The sequence below is a fragment of the Homo sapiens genome, chromosome 7 (assembly GCF_000001405.40).
Source record: "Homo sapiens chromosome 7, GRCh38.p14 Primary Assembly".
In the NCBI taxonomy this organism is placed as follows: domain Eukaryota; kingdom Metazoa; phylum Chordata; class Mammalia; order Primates; family Hominidae; genus Homo; species Homo sapiens.
Genome location: NC_000007.14, coordinates 50,712,869 through 50,728,312, shown reverse-complemented (window position 1 = coordinate 50,728,312; position 15,444 = coordinate 50,712,869). Strand labels below are relative to the sequence as shown.

General features: G+C 46.1%; 1 protein-coding gene across 39 annotated transcripts in view, besides 2 other annotated features; it reads left to right on the top strand.

Moving 5' to 3' along the window:
* GRB10 (growth factor receptor bound protein 10) overlaps window positions 1–15,444 on the top strand; it is a 203,386-nt gene that overhangs the window by 65,141 nt on the left and 122,801 nt on the right. For 3 of the 39 annotated variants that reach the window (XM_047420248.1, XM_047420246.1, XM_047420235.1), the window contains exons 2-5: window positions 423–520; window positions 878–973; window positions 1,352–1,401; window positions 2,278–2,300. The exons of 29 other annotated variants lie outside the window; for them this stretch is intronic. The gene's annotated coding sequence lies outside the window, so the exon portion shown is untranslated. Of the gene's footprint in view, window positions 1–422; window positions 521–877; window positions 1,402–2,277; window positions 2,301–15,444 lie in introns of those variants that run through there. 7 more of the 39 variants (XM_047420249.1, XM_047420247.1, XM_047420236.1 and 4 more) reach the window with 4 other exon arrangements.
* Window positions 1,805–1,974: an enhancer, noted in NCBI's record as "experimental_99483 CRE fragment used in MPRA reporter constructs". NCBI's record gives its function as "activates a minimal promoter by MPRAs in K562 erythroleukemia cells, with activity observed for both the introgressed and non-introgressed 7:50794121 variant alleles {active_cell/tissue: K562}" and the evidence as "EXISTENCE:reporter gene assay evidence [ECO:0000049][PMID:34662402]".
* Window positions 12,588–13,103: an enhancer, noted in NCBI's record as "H3K4me1 hESC enhancer chr7:50782907-50783422 (GRCh37/hg19 assembly coordinates)". NCBI's record gives its function as "activates a minimal SCP1, AML or CMV promoter by ChIP-STARR-seq in primed H9 embryonic stem cells {active_cell/tissue: H9 hESC(primed)}" and the evidence as "EXISTENCE:reporter gene assay evidence [ECO:0000049][PMID:30033119]".

The following is a 15,444-nucleotide window of genomic DNA, read 5'->3' as shown; positions in this document are numbered from 1 at the left end:
CCATTCCCAAAGTCTGTCACTGTTGTTATTATTATTATTATTTTTAGTGAAAGAGTGATTCTGTAGTTTTTCATTTTTAAGTACTACACCCCCCCCCCATACTTTGGCTAAAGAACATTTTATTAGACTACATTTTCTTTAAGAAATTTGTTGATAGTACCTGCCACTCTTAACCCTTGAGGTGGGAAGTTACGAAGATCATTTGAAATGTCTCTCTTTAAATTTTATTTGACTGTTCCAGCTGATAGGACATTTACCTAAAATGGTTTTCCAAGTCATTTAAGGTTATGATTCTGAACTTAGGAACAGCAGCTATGTTATGGAGATATTTTGTGAGGTAAAACAGGCAGTGTGTTGACTACTATTCACCTGCATGGCTTTAGGCATGGTGTTTAAATTCTCCACATTTCTTCTGTTTTCAGCGTCATTGTGAAAATTGGAAGACACTTATATAAACTTTGGCATTGTGTTTAGCACACAAAAGACCCTGTTAAATGTGAGCCACTGTTTGGATGAGCTGGTATGTGATTTTTTTGTTTTAGAGTGTAGAATTATTTTTAAGAATGTAAGTTTTTTTTTTTTAAGTGATTTGTGCGATACTTATGTAAATTTGAGATTATAATCTTTTTAAGTCTTTAAAATCATGTGAATATTCACTTAAAACAAATAGATGGCATTTGGTTTGGGAAAATACTTTTCATTGATCTGGCAAATTGCTGTTAACTGGCTTTATTTATTTAAATCCTAGGTAGTTAATTACATATTAGTAAATAGTTTACACTTTCTGTAACTAACAGAATCAGTTGAAAACTCTATTCTTTAAATGTTCTAAGTAACTTTGACTAATTTGTTTGTTCGCTTACCATTTTATGAACAGTTGATTGGCAGACCATGGCTGGGTATTAGGGTACCAGGTGAACAAGATGTCAACCCTGCCTGCAGGGAGCTCCCAGCCCTGGAGGGAGACAGACAGGTACAACAACCAACCATGGGCCACCATGACCTGGGATGCTGTCAGTGGTGTGCTTTGTGCAGACAAGTAGAGGGGAGGGTGATTAATCCCCCATCCCATGTCATTTCCTGCTAGAACTGTAAAACTAACATATTCGACAGCCTGCAAGCTGACCACTCAGAGGCTGGCAGTGGGGAAAAGATTAAGCTCTTCCTGTTTACTTCCCTTGTCTTCAGCCTTCCACCGACTCTGTGAATTGGGTACCTTCATGATACCCATTTTATAAATGAGAAAACTGAGGTTTTTACTATATGCTGGTCATCATGCTGAGGACTTTACTTGGATTTTCTCTCCTGCCAATGCTACGCGGTGGGGACCTTCATGTTCTCCCCTTTGCAGATGAGATTATCAAAGCAGAAAAAGACCATCTCTCCTACTGAGTAACAGAGGTACATTCGTCTCTGTGAAGTGTGTTTATGTTTAATGTTGGTGAGACTGAGGAGAACAAGTTTTTGTCCAAATGCCAAAATCTCCTCCTCAGAATTATTATAATAAAACATAGAATTTGTATCCTGCAATTTTGGACTTATTGAATTTCTTTGATCATGAAATGCCATAAGTCAGTTTTAACAACAGCTTTTCAGTTGAAATAAAGATTATTATGTATTGTCCCTAAATGTGTCATGTGTGCTGATCGTAAGGTGTTTGCATTTTTAAAATGTTAAAATGGGGAGTGGGGCATGTCTTAAAATCAATGAAATATGACAGATAAGTAAATAAATGGAAATAAAAATACATAAATATGTATATATTTATTCTCAGTGCTTTTCTTTTTAATGCCTAAATCTTCTCAAACATCATCATCCTCAAGTATGGGCTTAAAGTCTGATTTTTTTTGAATAATATAAACAACTATATTTATCACATATTTTCTATGTATTATTTTTGTTTTTTGTTTTTTTTGAGACAGAGTCTCACTCTGTCACCTAGGCTGGAATGCAGTGGCCCAATCTCAGCTCACTGCAACCCCCACCTCCCGGGTTCAAGCGATTGTCCTGCCTCAGCCTCCCGAGTACCTGGAATTATAGGCATGCACCATCACACCTGGCTAATTTTTGTATTTTTAGCAGAGATGGGGTTTCGCCATGTTGGCCAGGCTGGTCTTGAACTTCTGGTCTCAAGTAGTCTGCCCATCTCTGCCTCCCAAAGGTCTGGGATTATAGATAGGGGTGAGCCACTGCACCCAGCCTGTGTTATTTTTATCCTCTCTCTGGTACTGTGGCAAATATTCTGGATGTGTTATTTTTTCTATTTCTTTTTTCCAGGAAACCAGGGCTTGCAGATATTGGTAAGTTGCCCAAGGTCACACAGCTTGTAATGGGATAGATCAGGGATCAGGCGTACGGGGTCAAGCCTGAAGCCTATGTCCTTAACCATTCCACTGTCTGGTTTTTCCTTGGCACCGTGTGCTTGGCTGTGCAGATATCTATTTGATTGGGGGTGCTAGAGTTGATTATCTTTTTCATAAGATTTCATAAGCAGTGGAGGAGCAGAACACAATATTGGTCTATGACTTTGCACTGCCTTTTAGAAGGACATATCTAATCAGGGATACCTATATCCCACTTCTGTTTTCCTCCTACTTATCATGGGGGTTAAATCCCCACAGAAATATTTGTGTTCTTTTAATTTTCCATCCCATGAAAGTTCAATGTTAGTAATCAACTTTCCCTTTGCCATCTATCTGCCCAGAAGCTACTGTGAAATCACTTATCAAAGTCTTTGTTTTTGTTTTACTTATGAGACCAGATGGTTGCCTTTTCTGTTGTAAAGTGTCAAAGTTTCTACTAGACCTACAAAAACCAAAACTTACCTGCTGTGTGTGTGTCACTGTATTCGTCCACACTCACACCGCTTATAAAGAACTGCCTGGGACTGGGTAATTTATAAAGAAATGAGGTTTAATTGACTCATAGTTCCGCAGCCTGTACAGGAAGCATGGCTGGAAGGCCTCAGGAAACTTAAAATCATGGCAGAAGCAAAGGGGAAGCTGGCAAGTCTTACGTGGCTGGAGCAGGAGGAAAAGAGCACAAAAGGGGAGGTGCTACACACTTTCCAACAACCAGGTCTCGTGGCAACTTACTGTCATGAGAATAGCAAGGGGGACATCTGCCCCTGTGATCCCGTCACCTACCACCAGGCTCCTCCTCCAACCTTGGGGATGGACATGAGATTTTGGGCGGGGATACAAATGCAAACCATATCAGTCGCCATTACAGCAGGTAGGGCAGGCAGCAGGCAGGTAACCAGCAGAGCAGGCAGCAGGCACAGCTACCTTGCCGGGAGTGTTTTTCCAGGAGAGATGGCAGTATCAAGCGCACGCAGACTTGGAAAGGCATCATGGCGTACCTGGTTGGAGCATGAATCCTTGATTCAACTGTTTTCTTTGCACAGAGTCATATTACTTGATTACCAAAGGGAAGGGAACTCATGACCCTCAGGGACAGGCTGTTTATCTGTGGTCAGAAGATGGGCCTCCTGTAACATTGACTGTGCTCCCTTCTGGCCTTGTCAGTAACGCAGAGCAAATCACTTCCGTCTCTCTGCGTTTGAAGTTATGTGTCATTACCCAGCCAGCCCCCAGCTCCTTCAGGCATCCTTCCTTTGTCGGGGTTTGTGGCACTTTTTCCTGTTTCCTTTCTCCTGTCTTGCCTAGCCCTCTTCAAGGGGAAGGACCAGAACTAATCAACACTTCAGATGAGACTGACCAGCTCAGAGCTGGGCGGCTCACGCTCTCCCTTCAGGACCCATCCTCCCATCCCTCATTGTAGCACAATGTTGACTTTTTTGAAGGAAGGTCTCTTCATGCACCCACTGCTGTGTCCCAGGTCGTGTTTATTTCCAGTTCATGATAAGTAGAGACATTGAGAAAATGTGTTTAGAGATTTTATAGCAATTTGAATGTTGAACTTAAGAATAAAAATGTGGGTGTGTATCGTATTTTTGTTTTATTTTACTTTCTGGCAATTCATTGCTATGTGAGTTGTGAAGTATCCGTGCTTGACAGGTTGACAGGGACAGCAAAAACTGCTTCTTCCCCGCAGGTGGCTCCTGAAGCACTAGTCTTGGCTATCTCAGGATATCACAGTCATGCCTGTGGTTTTTCTGTCCTTGGCAGCTCCAGTTTGCAAAGTTGAAGCTTTGCGTTTATGACCCATTGTGGCCTTGGTGTGTCATTTGTGCATGGTGAGATTTCCTCAGGCGCTGCTGGAACGTGCGAGTCCACTGCCTCCAGCCAGTGGCGGATCATGGGGGACAGCATCTGTGCCCTCCCACTGTGTTGTCCACTCTTCCCTATAGGCCTGATGTGACTCCGCTGTGCTTTTGCTAACCGTCCTTAACCAGCTCCTTGCCACTGCACTAGGGCGTGAAGGTTGGAGGGTGCCTGTGGGTCCCTCTGTAGCTCTCAGTGTGACCTACCTCCCACCTTCCTATGTCTGTTTGCCTTGAGCAGCTGTTCTAGTCTTTTCTCCATCAAGAGTCTACACCGTTTTGGAGGGTCATGTGGCCAGCGGGAGGTGAGCCAGCCCAGGAGGCATGCAGGCCCCAGGTTTGAATCCCAGTACCGCTTCAGGCGTGTGAGGCTGACAGTTATACCTGCACTGTTATGAAATGAGAGCCTCCAGGGACCACCCAACTAGTGGGGCCTTAGGAAATCCCAGTTGACCAGGGGCACTTCGCTGGAACCCTGAACAGGGCCTTTGCTCCTGGGATCCAAGGGGCTGGATCGCTAAAAACCCTTCATCGTCTTCCTTTGCCCCCAGACTCTGGTTTAGCAGGCTCTGGGGTACTGGCTGAGGGGTTCATCCTTCATTTCCAGACCTCAGCTGAAACCCAGCTAATTTGTAAGATGGGACCAAACAACATTAGAACATTTCGTTCTTTGGACAATGAGGAAATGATTGGCAGTTTCTTTGTGGTTGCCCATTCTGGGAATACAGAAGTGTGTAAGACATAGCCGGGGCTTAAAGGATGTACCCAAGTAATAGAGGAAGGAGAATTGTACCTGTTGTTTAATGACTCTAAATAAGGAAACACCTGACCCCTCTGTCTGTGGACACAGAGTTGGAATTTGAGTCCTTCACTGCCAAGGACATCATTGCTTCACTGCAACTTTTCTCTTTTTTTAAAGAAAAAAAAGCTACTTGGTATTGTGAAAAAATAGCTATAAGGTTATATTTTGCTTTACTTGTCCCTTCAGAACTTCACTAAAAGAAAAGTAAATTTTATATAAATGTATTTTATTTTTCGACATTGTGAAGGTGTTAATTCCAATTAAATTGGTCTTTGAGGTCAGGTTCTTGGCATTTGCAGGGTACTTATATGGATTTTTCAGCTTTCTAAGGCGTAAATGTGGCCTTTGTAGCTTGTGCAGTATGAGGGGTGAGTGCCAGGGCATCTAGAGAAACAACTTAATCCTGAGAGCGCTATCTTTACCTAAGGTGGGTGAAATGGGATTAAAAATAACCCTACCCAAGGAGGACATTGAGGGCAGCTTCTGAGGAGAGGCTTTATGGAGAACAAGCTGTGTGTTTGGAGGCCAGGTATAAGTAATGTCGGGGAAGGAGAGGGGGCGGTACCCTGTCACCCCACCTCATCACTCTGTCACCTTGTCACCCTGGCATTCTCCCCCATAGTCCATCCCCCATCATCCGGTCACTCTGGGCCCTGTCACCCTGGCTCGCATCACTGGTTCTGTCACCTCTTCACCCTGGACTCCCCTTTCTTGAGTGCTTGTCACAGGGCTTTGAAGCTGTTGCTGCCCATGTGCCCCCATCAACTATGTTCTCCTGGCAGATGGGAATGTGCTTTCTGTGGCTTTGAAATCTTCGAACACATGGAATTTCCCACCTTGCTGCAAGCTCATGGGACTACAGATGCTCTCAGAGCTGCTCTGTCTGTGCCATCCAACATCTTTGCCCTGACACTTCTTTGGTGCCAGGCGGGGTTACCCTGGGGCCTTCCAGGGGACCTTTCTATCACCTTAGGAAGCCGCTTTGGATCTTGGAATGACCCTTGCAGGAAGTCCTTGAACGTAAGTTTATGGCCAGTCCTTGGCCTCCTGAGTGGGCATGAGAGTGGGCAGGGCAGAGGGGCTGTGGCGTGGTGCAGGTTAAGGGTTCGGGGCTCAGCTGGTGGGGGACAGCCTGGGAAGCTGGGAGCTACTGGGCCCGTGGTACACCCTGCCTCTGGGGTGCAGGAGAGACAGGAGAGGAGGGCATAGGAGGTAGCATAGTGACCGGGCCAGCCTCCTCAGCCTGTCTTTGGCCTGATCCTCCCTACCAGCAGCCTGGGCTCTCCTTTGCCACCAGTAATACTGAACTGCTCTGCTCCCTTCTCCCCGCTCCACGCGCTGTCTTCTTCTTCCGTTTCTTGGCCTGGGCCATTTCCCTGGACTTCAGCCCAGACACCTTCCCTTCCCACAGCAGTCCCTGCCACACCCCCATGGAGCCTTCTCTTGCATTCCTGCAGCCAGTCCTGGGCCTCCCTCTGCCTGACCCCTCCTTATGCTGTCGTCTGTCCTCCCCCATCCTCAGCCACCCCAGATTCTGCTTGAGGACAGAGTGGAGACCTATCACCCTTCTGTTTGGCCCCTACCCAGTGGGGAATGGGTGACATGGTGAGGTGAGACCCCGTCCCCAGCCCAGGTCAGAACACCTAATTCTCAAGCTGCAGAGCCCTACGAGGGGCAGAGACAAGAGCTAACAGACCGGGGCTTGGGCCAGCAGAGCAAGAAGGTGGTAGCAGGTGGGGTGGGCTCACTTTGTCATGAGTTGCTTCTCTTTGGCATACTCAAATGGCCAGCATTGTTCCTCTTCACTTTGGCGCTGTTATTCAGTATAGTAAGGGCTACTTGAATTCAAGCTCTGTGATCCGCGGCAGTTGATCTGATGATCACTGCGACGGCTCCTCTGTGACTCATGGGCAGGCAGCGCCTGCAGCGTGGATCTTGGAGTCGCATCCTGGGCAGAGGGAGGAGTCGCATCCTGGGCAGGACAAAGCGGGTTGGTGCAGGATCTCATCACTCTCCTCCACACAGTGTGAAACTGATGAATTATTTATTTCTGGAATTGTCCATTTAATATTTTTGGACCACAGTTGACTGTGGGTAACTGAAGCTGCAGAAAGTAAAACCAGGATAAGGGGGGGACTACTGTATTCTCCAGGAAAGTTTAAAATAGTTTCGTGTTTGGGTACCTTTACTGTGTTAAAATTGTTTGAATATGGCAAATACTGTATGTGGTGTTCATGTTAACAATTTATGAAACTTTTCAATGAAGCAGGGCGTTTCTTTTCTTTTCTTTCTGGCACCTGGATGAAGAGGGTATTTATTGCGACAATTTCCTGCACTGGATTTGGGTGCCGTGCAGCTTCTGTGATTGCTCACTCAGTTGCAGAAGAGAAAAGCTATTGGATAATATCGTGCTTTAGACAGCCAGGCAGAGAAAAATGCTATTTTAAACAAGCAGTAAATACATTGATGAAAATTTAGGAAACGGCAACTTTTTTTTTTTTTTTAATGGTGTACTTTGGCAGAGAGAGGAACCTTAAAATTATTCCTTTTATTAAAAGCATACAGAGTAATTTAAACATAAGCTTCTTTACTTACTTTCTGATTGAAGTGTCTGGTCTTTTAAGGTGGTAACTATGTTTAAATTATATTTTTATATTCCTGTACCATGCATGTTTAGTTGGGATGACTTGCTTTCACTGTTATTTTTCCTTGGGGTTTTAAGTGTTGCCATATGTGCTGGGCTCCCCGTCCGGGATGTGCCTGTCCTCTGCTCTCTGGGCCTTTTTGGCGCCTGGTGTCAGATGGGCCTCATCACCTGTGTTTGCTGCCACCGGTTATGAGTCTCGACAAAGGGGGTCACTTAGGTAGGGTTTGCGATCCAGTTTTCATCATGCAGTCAATACTGTCACTTTAGCAGTTTCCCCAGAACCTGTTAAATATTTATGTGTGTTTCAAGCAGACTCTGCGAAACTGGCTACTGGTACATTTATTATTATTATCATCTTAACTAGAAACAAAGTATTCGAAGTGACTGTGATATGAATTATTAACATTATTTTTAACTTTTGTGAGGTTTTCCTATCATTGATCTTAAAGAAGAAAGTAAATATTTAGCTTGTATTTAGTTTTTCCTCTTACTGAACTTTCTGTGACTTAGTTGATGTGTTTGTTAGTGTTTCTGGAAAAGTGGTAGGAAACCGTGTTTCTTTATCTGAAGATGGGCTTCAGCCTGCAGCTCTGCTAGGGGTTCTCTGGTGTTTGTTGAGAGGCATTCAAGTTCTGTGAAGGATTTCAGCCCCGCTCCCAGCAGCTGGAGTGGGGGGCAGAAGAATGTGTCTCCACCAGCTATTTCTAGGTGCCAGAGATCCTGCGTAGCATGCAGGAACTCGGATTTGATCACTTGATAGTATGACTTAAGAAAAAAAAAAACCTATAAAAGGAGTAAACTCACAGGAAAAACAAAACTTGTCATTCTTGGTAGGAAATTCCAAAGTGTAGTGGAAATGTAAGGAGCTGGTTGTAGCATTTATTTCATGGAGAAAGTGGCATCCGTGTAATTGTTAAAGATGGTTACTCTTTTTTTTTATTTTTTAAATTTTACTTTAAATTTTGGGATATATGTGCAGAACGTGCAGGTTTGTTACATAGGTATACATGTGCCATGGTGGTTTGCTGCACCTATCAACCCATCATCTAGGTTTTTAAGCCCCCCATGCATTAGGTATTTGTCCTAATGCTCTCCCTCCCCTCGCCCCCTACCCCCGACAGGCCCCAGTGTATGATGTGCCCCTCCCTGTGTCCACGTGTTCTCATTGTTCAACTGCCGCTTATGAGTGAGAACATGCAGTGTTTGGTTTTCTGTTCCTGTGTTAGTTTGCTGAGAATGATGGCTTCCAGCTTCAAAGGATGGTCACTCTTAAGATGAATTCCCTTTGCAGGGCCTTCTGTCTCTGCCTGCAGTGATATTCTTTTGCCTTGTTTTCCTCCTTCATGTAGGTGTCACAGGACACCTGTGGGCCTGGCCCTTCCTCCTTGCAGTCTTCACTTTTGGACCCCTTTTCAGTGAGGCCTTCCCTTGTGTTCTGTGTAAATTGCAGTCTCCGCCCCGTTTATCCAGCTCTGTTCTGTTCTTTTATTCCATAGCACTGCATTCTCAGATTATAACAAGTAAATGGTGTGTTTATTGCTCACTACTTGTTTTCTTTAGATAAAATACAAACTCCATAGGGCAGGATTGTTGCTTTAAACACTCATGTGCTGGGCATAGAGTAATTGCTTGGTAAATATTTGTTGAATGGATCAGCCTCTCTGAAGATTGACTATATTTTTCTTCTGCTTGGGTGACCAAGAGGTTGGATACTCCAAGTCTCTGAAACTCTGTGATTGGTTATCCATGACTGTGTCACCCTTGGGTAAAGATTTTGAGGGGTTCAACAAGCTTAGACATTGGACAGTAATTGCAGGACCCCTCTTGCTGCTTAAGCGCTCTTGACCCTGAGAGCTGTGAATGGCAACCTCTGCTCTCAGGGTTTCGACGGTTACAATTTCAGTATGCACGGGACTTAACGTTGGGCTCCTGGTGAACTGGGTGTTAATGTGTTTTTGAAACCTGCCCTTAATGTACAAATTACTTTGGAGTAAAGTTAGATCTGTGGTCCTCAAAAACTGAAATATTAGATGTAGAGTGCGGGTTTAAGACCCAGGCTGGAGAGTCCCTGAGTTCTATACTCTGGGATCCTCGTGTGAGAGTGAGCTCTCACTGATCTCAGTCAGTGTGCTCAGGAAGCAGCAGTGAGCAGCCTGAGCCGAGGGCGCCGCAGTGGCCGTGAGAAGAAAGTGTGGGTGGAAGTGGATGTAGAAGGCAAAATAATCAGGATCAGTAAGCAGTTCATAGGTGGATAAGGAGGAGTTGGAGGCTGACTGATTTCTGCATGGGTAACTAACCCATGCAGATGGCTGACTGGCATTCAGGGAGGTGAAGGTAATGCCAGCATTTCAGAAGAAGGACATTTCAAACCAAACTCATTTTCCCATTCCCCAAACTGGCCTCCCCTCTCTCTGTTAATTCTCCCTTGAACTGGGCACTGGGCTTCTTGATTTGAGGGAGCTTGGATCCCCTTCCCTTTCTTCCTTCCTGCTGGACACAGTTCCGCAAGCCTCCGGATCTTGCCTTGGGAATCCCCTGTCCCCTCTTTGTCCTGGCACTTAGTCAGTGGGCTGGAATTGTCTGGGCCGACTGAGTCCCTGGCCTCCTCCCTTTGCTGGGCGCCCAGGGCCCTTTGGACTCCCTGGAGTGACAGAGGAGTCTCTGCCTGGGGGGATCAGAACTGGGCCTGCTGCATGTTGAGCAGTCTGGAGTGGGGTCAAGCAAAGCATGGCCATGGCCTTGTGGTTGCGTCTCGTAGGTCCCTTCAGGAGCTGGTACCAGCACAGGGTGAACCGATCTGTGTATCTGACCATCGCTCCTCAATGGGTCCAGAGACCCCAAGAACCTCATTTCAGAGAATGAGGCCTTGGCTAAGTGGTGCTAAAAAGCAATTTCCATCTAAACACCTGGTTGATAATATGGACACAGGAGAAGATACGCTGTCTTCAGATCTACTGATAATGAACGAGGTTCCTAACTTAGGGAGAAAGTGTTTAGGTAAAGAAATGTTTTGTAGCTTCAGTGGTGGATAAGGAGGGGCCTGTTGTCATATCTGTAGATTACCTGTATCTGTGTACATTTTAAGTTTGTATTACTTGTGTTTCCACACATGGTTCAAATTTCATATTTATGTATATATACATATATATGTGACTGTGACGCATGCGCATGCACACACACACACACACTCTTCAAGCTTCTCATGTGAGTGAGTGTCTCTCCTTGCGGTGGCAGCATTAGGAGCACATGGCCTGGCAACTGCTTCCTGTGGTGGAGCCCAGTTGCCCCTGACTCCCTTGCTGTTTGTTGAAGCTGGAGCAGTAACCAGACTATTGTGCTTATAACTGCTTTTCAAGTACGTAAGAGTAGGTTCACCTCTGAGTGGAAGGAATGGTGAAGACTTTCTGTGTTTCTGTCCTTGATACCCCCTTGCAGTTGTTAGGCTGCCACAAAGTGGGAGACTGTCTCCTTGGAGTTTGAGAAGGGAGCTAGCATGTGTTTTGTGACAGGACTTTGTATACCTCATCTCACTCAGTTTTCCTACCAAACTTTTTGAAATGGGTATGATCCAAATTTGCCTACAATAAAAGTGAGGCTCAGAAACTTTGGTTGACTTATCCAGCCCGGCCAAATAGCGGGAATGCAGAAAGTGCTGGCTGCAGCCTTTATTTTCTCTGGCCCCAAACCTGAGCTCCTTCCTCCCTCCCCTCATCTGGCCTCATCATTTGGAGGTAGTTTATCGTAATCTTTTCCATCTTCCTTTTCTCTCTGTGTGCCATTCTGGATAGTTTCTATTACTATGTCTTCATAGGGTGCTCCTACCCTAGACCTCTCCAGACCACGCCAGCCGTTGGGCGAGGGAGCCTCACAGTGTGTCTTTGGAGATTGGTCACTGGGGATGGAGGGAGGGGAGAGAAGCGTGGTGTCCAATGTCTGGTTAATCCTGCCCACATATTTTTCATCTCCTGTGTTGCATTTTTCATCTGTAGGGTTGGATTTGGTCATTTTATATCTTCCACTTCTCTCCTTATCACTCATGCTTTGCTTTTCCTTCTTGAATGCACAGAGCATATTTATCTTCATCATTTTAATATATCGCCTGCTGTTTCATCTTGGACATTTCTGTATCCGTTTCTCTTGGCTGATTTCCCTTATCGTTATGGGTTTTATTTTCTTTTCATGCCTGGTACTTTTTGTTTCGATCCCAGTCATTGTAAATTTCACCTGGTTGGGTGTTGGCTACTTCTTGGGAGGGGGCTATTCTTTTAAATATTTTGGGCTTTATTCTGGAAAGAAGCTTCTTGGAAATAGTTTGACCCTTTTGAGGCTGGCTTATAAGCTTTGTTAGCTGGGCCCAGAGTCACTTTTAGTTTGGGGCTAATTTGCCCCCACTGTTGAGGCAGGACCCTTCTGAGGGCTGTCTTGTGTCCCATGCGTAAGGAAGTTTTCCATTTGGGTTGGTGGGAACACGCTTCTCTCCAGATGGCTCTGTCTCCTTCATTCTGGTGGTTCTTCCCAGTCTTGGTATTTTCCTTACATGCATGCGTCATTAATCCTCAGCTGGAGATGTGTGTGGAGAGCCCCCTCTCTTGAGCGCTCTCCTCTCTGCCTTGACCTTCCTGAGTGTTGAACTCTGTCTCCTTAGGACGATCCTAGGCTCTGCCTGGAAGGGAGATTCCCCCTCCCTGCGCTGCAGCTTGGAAGCTCTCTCCAGCCAGTGAGTGGGCACTAGTAGGGCTGCGTCATGTGGATCATGTCTCAGGAATCACTGTCCCATGCTGCCTGTTGTCAAATGTATGAAAACTGTTTCAGTTTTAGTTATTTAGGGGGAGAGGGTACATCTAATCCTTTATATTCCATATTGGCCAGAAGCTCAGAAGTCACCCATGATATTATTTTAACCGTGGTTCTAGGAGTAGATTTGCTTTGGAACATTTTTGTGGAGTGTGCAGACCCAGCTTTGGAACTCAGAAGAAGTTTAGACGTCATATGGTCCAAAAACCTGATTTTATTGGTGAGGAAATAGGCCCAGAGAGTGAAGTTATTTGCTCAGAATCATAGTTTGTCACACTGGCAGTTTGTAAACATTTGGCTCATGCCACAATAAGATTTTTCATACCTGAAGGGCGAGGTGAACTGTTTCTTATGGCCCACAGCAAGGTTGGGATCCACCAATTGTTCCTGCTGTAATGGCTGCCCGAGTTTGGTCTTACTGGGAAAAGTCACTCTTTGGCAGAGGGATTGAGTTTCCTGAGCCCTGGGATCTGTGCTGTTTATTCATTTTTATGAATAAAACGAGCTTTATCCAAAGCCTCTGGGGAGCATCACTATGAACCGCCGTCCTCTTGCCCTGCCAGCCCAGCCCTTCTGCTTGCACCTGGAAGCTGCTCCATGCCCTTCCCTGCTCCAGATCGCGCCTGCCCTTCAAAGGGCTGCCACACCTGGGAGCCCCAGGCTGGAGCTCCAGGCCAGACCTAGCTTACCTCATTCCGCCTCCAGCTTCTTGGCATTGGCTGCCATTTACCCTTGGCCCCCTGCCCTCTACCTGTGGGAGGGACTTAGAAATGAGGAAAAGCCACCACCAAGGATTCATCATATCAAACCCTGGGGCCTTTTCCTGGTCAGCCAGGACAATGAGAGTTATTTCCAAATTCTGAGATTATTGTTGAGAAAGTTCAAGGAAGAGATTTCTCTCTTCCTTCTGCTCATGGGGGAAGAATGTGGGTGTGTCATGTGCCTCCTACGGCCCTGATCTGCTAGGAGGGCAACCCTGGCTCTGTTGATCACTCTCACAGCCGCACATGGTTTGGTTCTCTGGTTTTAGTGTAGAGGTTGCTGGGGTTGTGGGACCCAGAGAGAAAACGAGAAGCTTGAAGCTGAAGAAGTTGGGTTCAGTGCAATTGCAATGGCTTTGTGCACCCCACCTGGGAGCTCAGGAGGGCTCAGGATTGCACTCCGTTTTTTGTTTTTTTTTTTGAGACAGAGTCTCGCTATGTAGCCCAGGCTGGAGTGCAGTGGTGCAATCTCGGCTCACTGCAAGCTCCGCCTCCTGGGTTCACGCCATTCCCCTGCCTTAGCCTCCTGAGTAGCTGGGACTACAGGCGCCCGCCACCACACCCGTCTAATTTTTTGTATTTTTAGTAGAGACGGGGTTTCACCGTGTTAGCCAGAATGGTCTCAGTCTCCTGACCTCGTGATCTGCATACCTTGACCTCCCAAAGTGCTGGGATTACAGGCATGAGCCACTGCTCCTGGCCTCAAGTTATATTTAAAGTATATAAATATAATTTGACTATAACTTGCATTGTCACTGATCCTCTTGTGGTACTTTAAAGATTGTGTTGTCAAAATTATTAAGTGGGTAGTTTAGAGATTCTGATCTTCTGATTTCTCAGACTGTTAAGTTACTCTAGAACTCATGATCGATTAAGGTACTGCTACATGTTGACTATTCTAACAAATTAATATTATGTTAATACATGTGGATATTTTGGTGTCTGAATAGTTGCCTTTTTGTTGAAGTTGGGGATGGAGGAAGTGGTGAGGAGGGGTGAAGGTAGGGGAGGAAGAGGTAGAGGTGATGGTAGAGGTGGTGGTGGAGGGGGAGGAGGATATAGAGATAATGAAGAGTGTGGAGGTGGATGTGTTGGTAGCAATGGAGGTGTTGGAGATGTAAGAGGTGAAGGGTGGTGGGAAGGAGCAGAGGTGATGGAATGGGTGGAAGTGGTGATGAAGGGGTAGGTAGTGGAGGAGGAGGAGGAGCTAGAGGTGAGGGTGGAGGTGGTAGAGGAAGTGGACGAGGTGGAGGTGATGGTGGAGATGGTGGAAGTGATGGTGGAGGTGGTAGAGGAGATGGAGGAGGTGGAGGTGAGGGATAGAGATGGTGGAGGAGGTGGAGGTGATGTGATAGTAGAGGAGGTGGAGGTGAGGATGGAGGAGGTGGAGGTGACAATGGAGGAGGTGGAGGTGGTGGTGGAGGAGGTGGAGGTGATGGGGGAGGTGGAGGTGATGGTGGAGGAGGTGGAGGTGATGGTGGAGATGGTAGAGGAGGTGGAGGTGAGGATGGAGATGGTGGAGGAGGTGGAGGTGATAGAGGTAGCAGAGGAGGTGGAGGTGATGGTGGAGATAGTAGAGGAGATGGTGGAGATGGTAGAGGAGTTGGTTGAAGTGCTGGAGGTGATGATGGAGGTGGTAATGAAATGATGGTGGGGGTGGTAGAGGAGATGGAGGTGGCGGTGGAGGAGGTGGAGAAGGTAGAGGAGGAGCTGATGTGGCAGGAGAAGTGATGGAGATGGAAGGAGGTGGTGGGAAGGGGTGGAGTGCTGGTGGAAATGTCGGGAGGGGAGGTAGTGACCGCAGAGGAGGAGGAGGCAGGGGCAGTAGTGGCAGTAGTAAAAATAGCAGCTGAGATTTACTGAGCCGTGCTTTCCATGTGTGATCACACTAAATCTTCAATAGTCCTTGGAGGTTATACTCACACAGGGTGGTTTAATGTCTTCCCCAAGGTCATGTAGCTACTCTTCTGTAGAAATTCTAGAGCTAGTGCTGTCCCCCTTTCGGCCAAAATGCCTCATTGATGTGGGAATACCAGATGCAAAAACAGGAACAAAACTGACTTGGCAAAGGCATTTTATTTTGGGAAAACCATTTGTCAAGATTGACAGGCTCTGGGCAGGAGGTTTCTTTGTAGGGTGATGGAAATGTTCTAAAATTAGATTGTGGTGATGGTTGTACAGATCCTTAATTATACTAACATTCATTGGTTTGTAC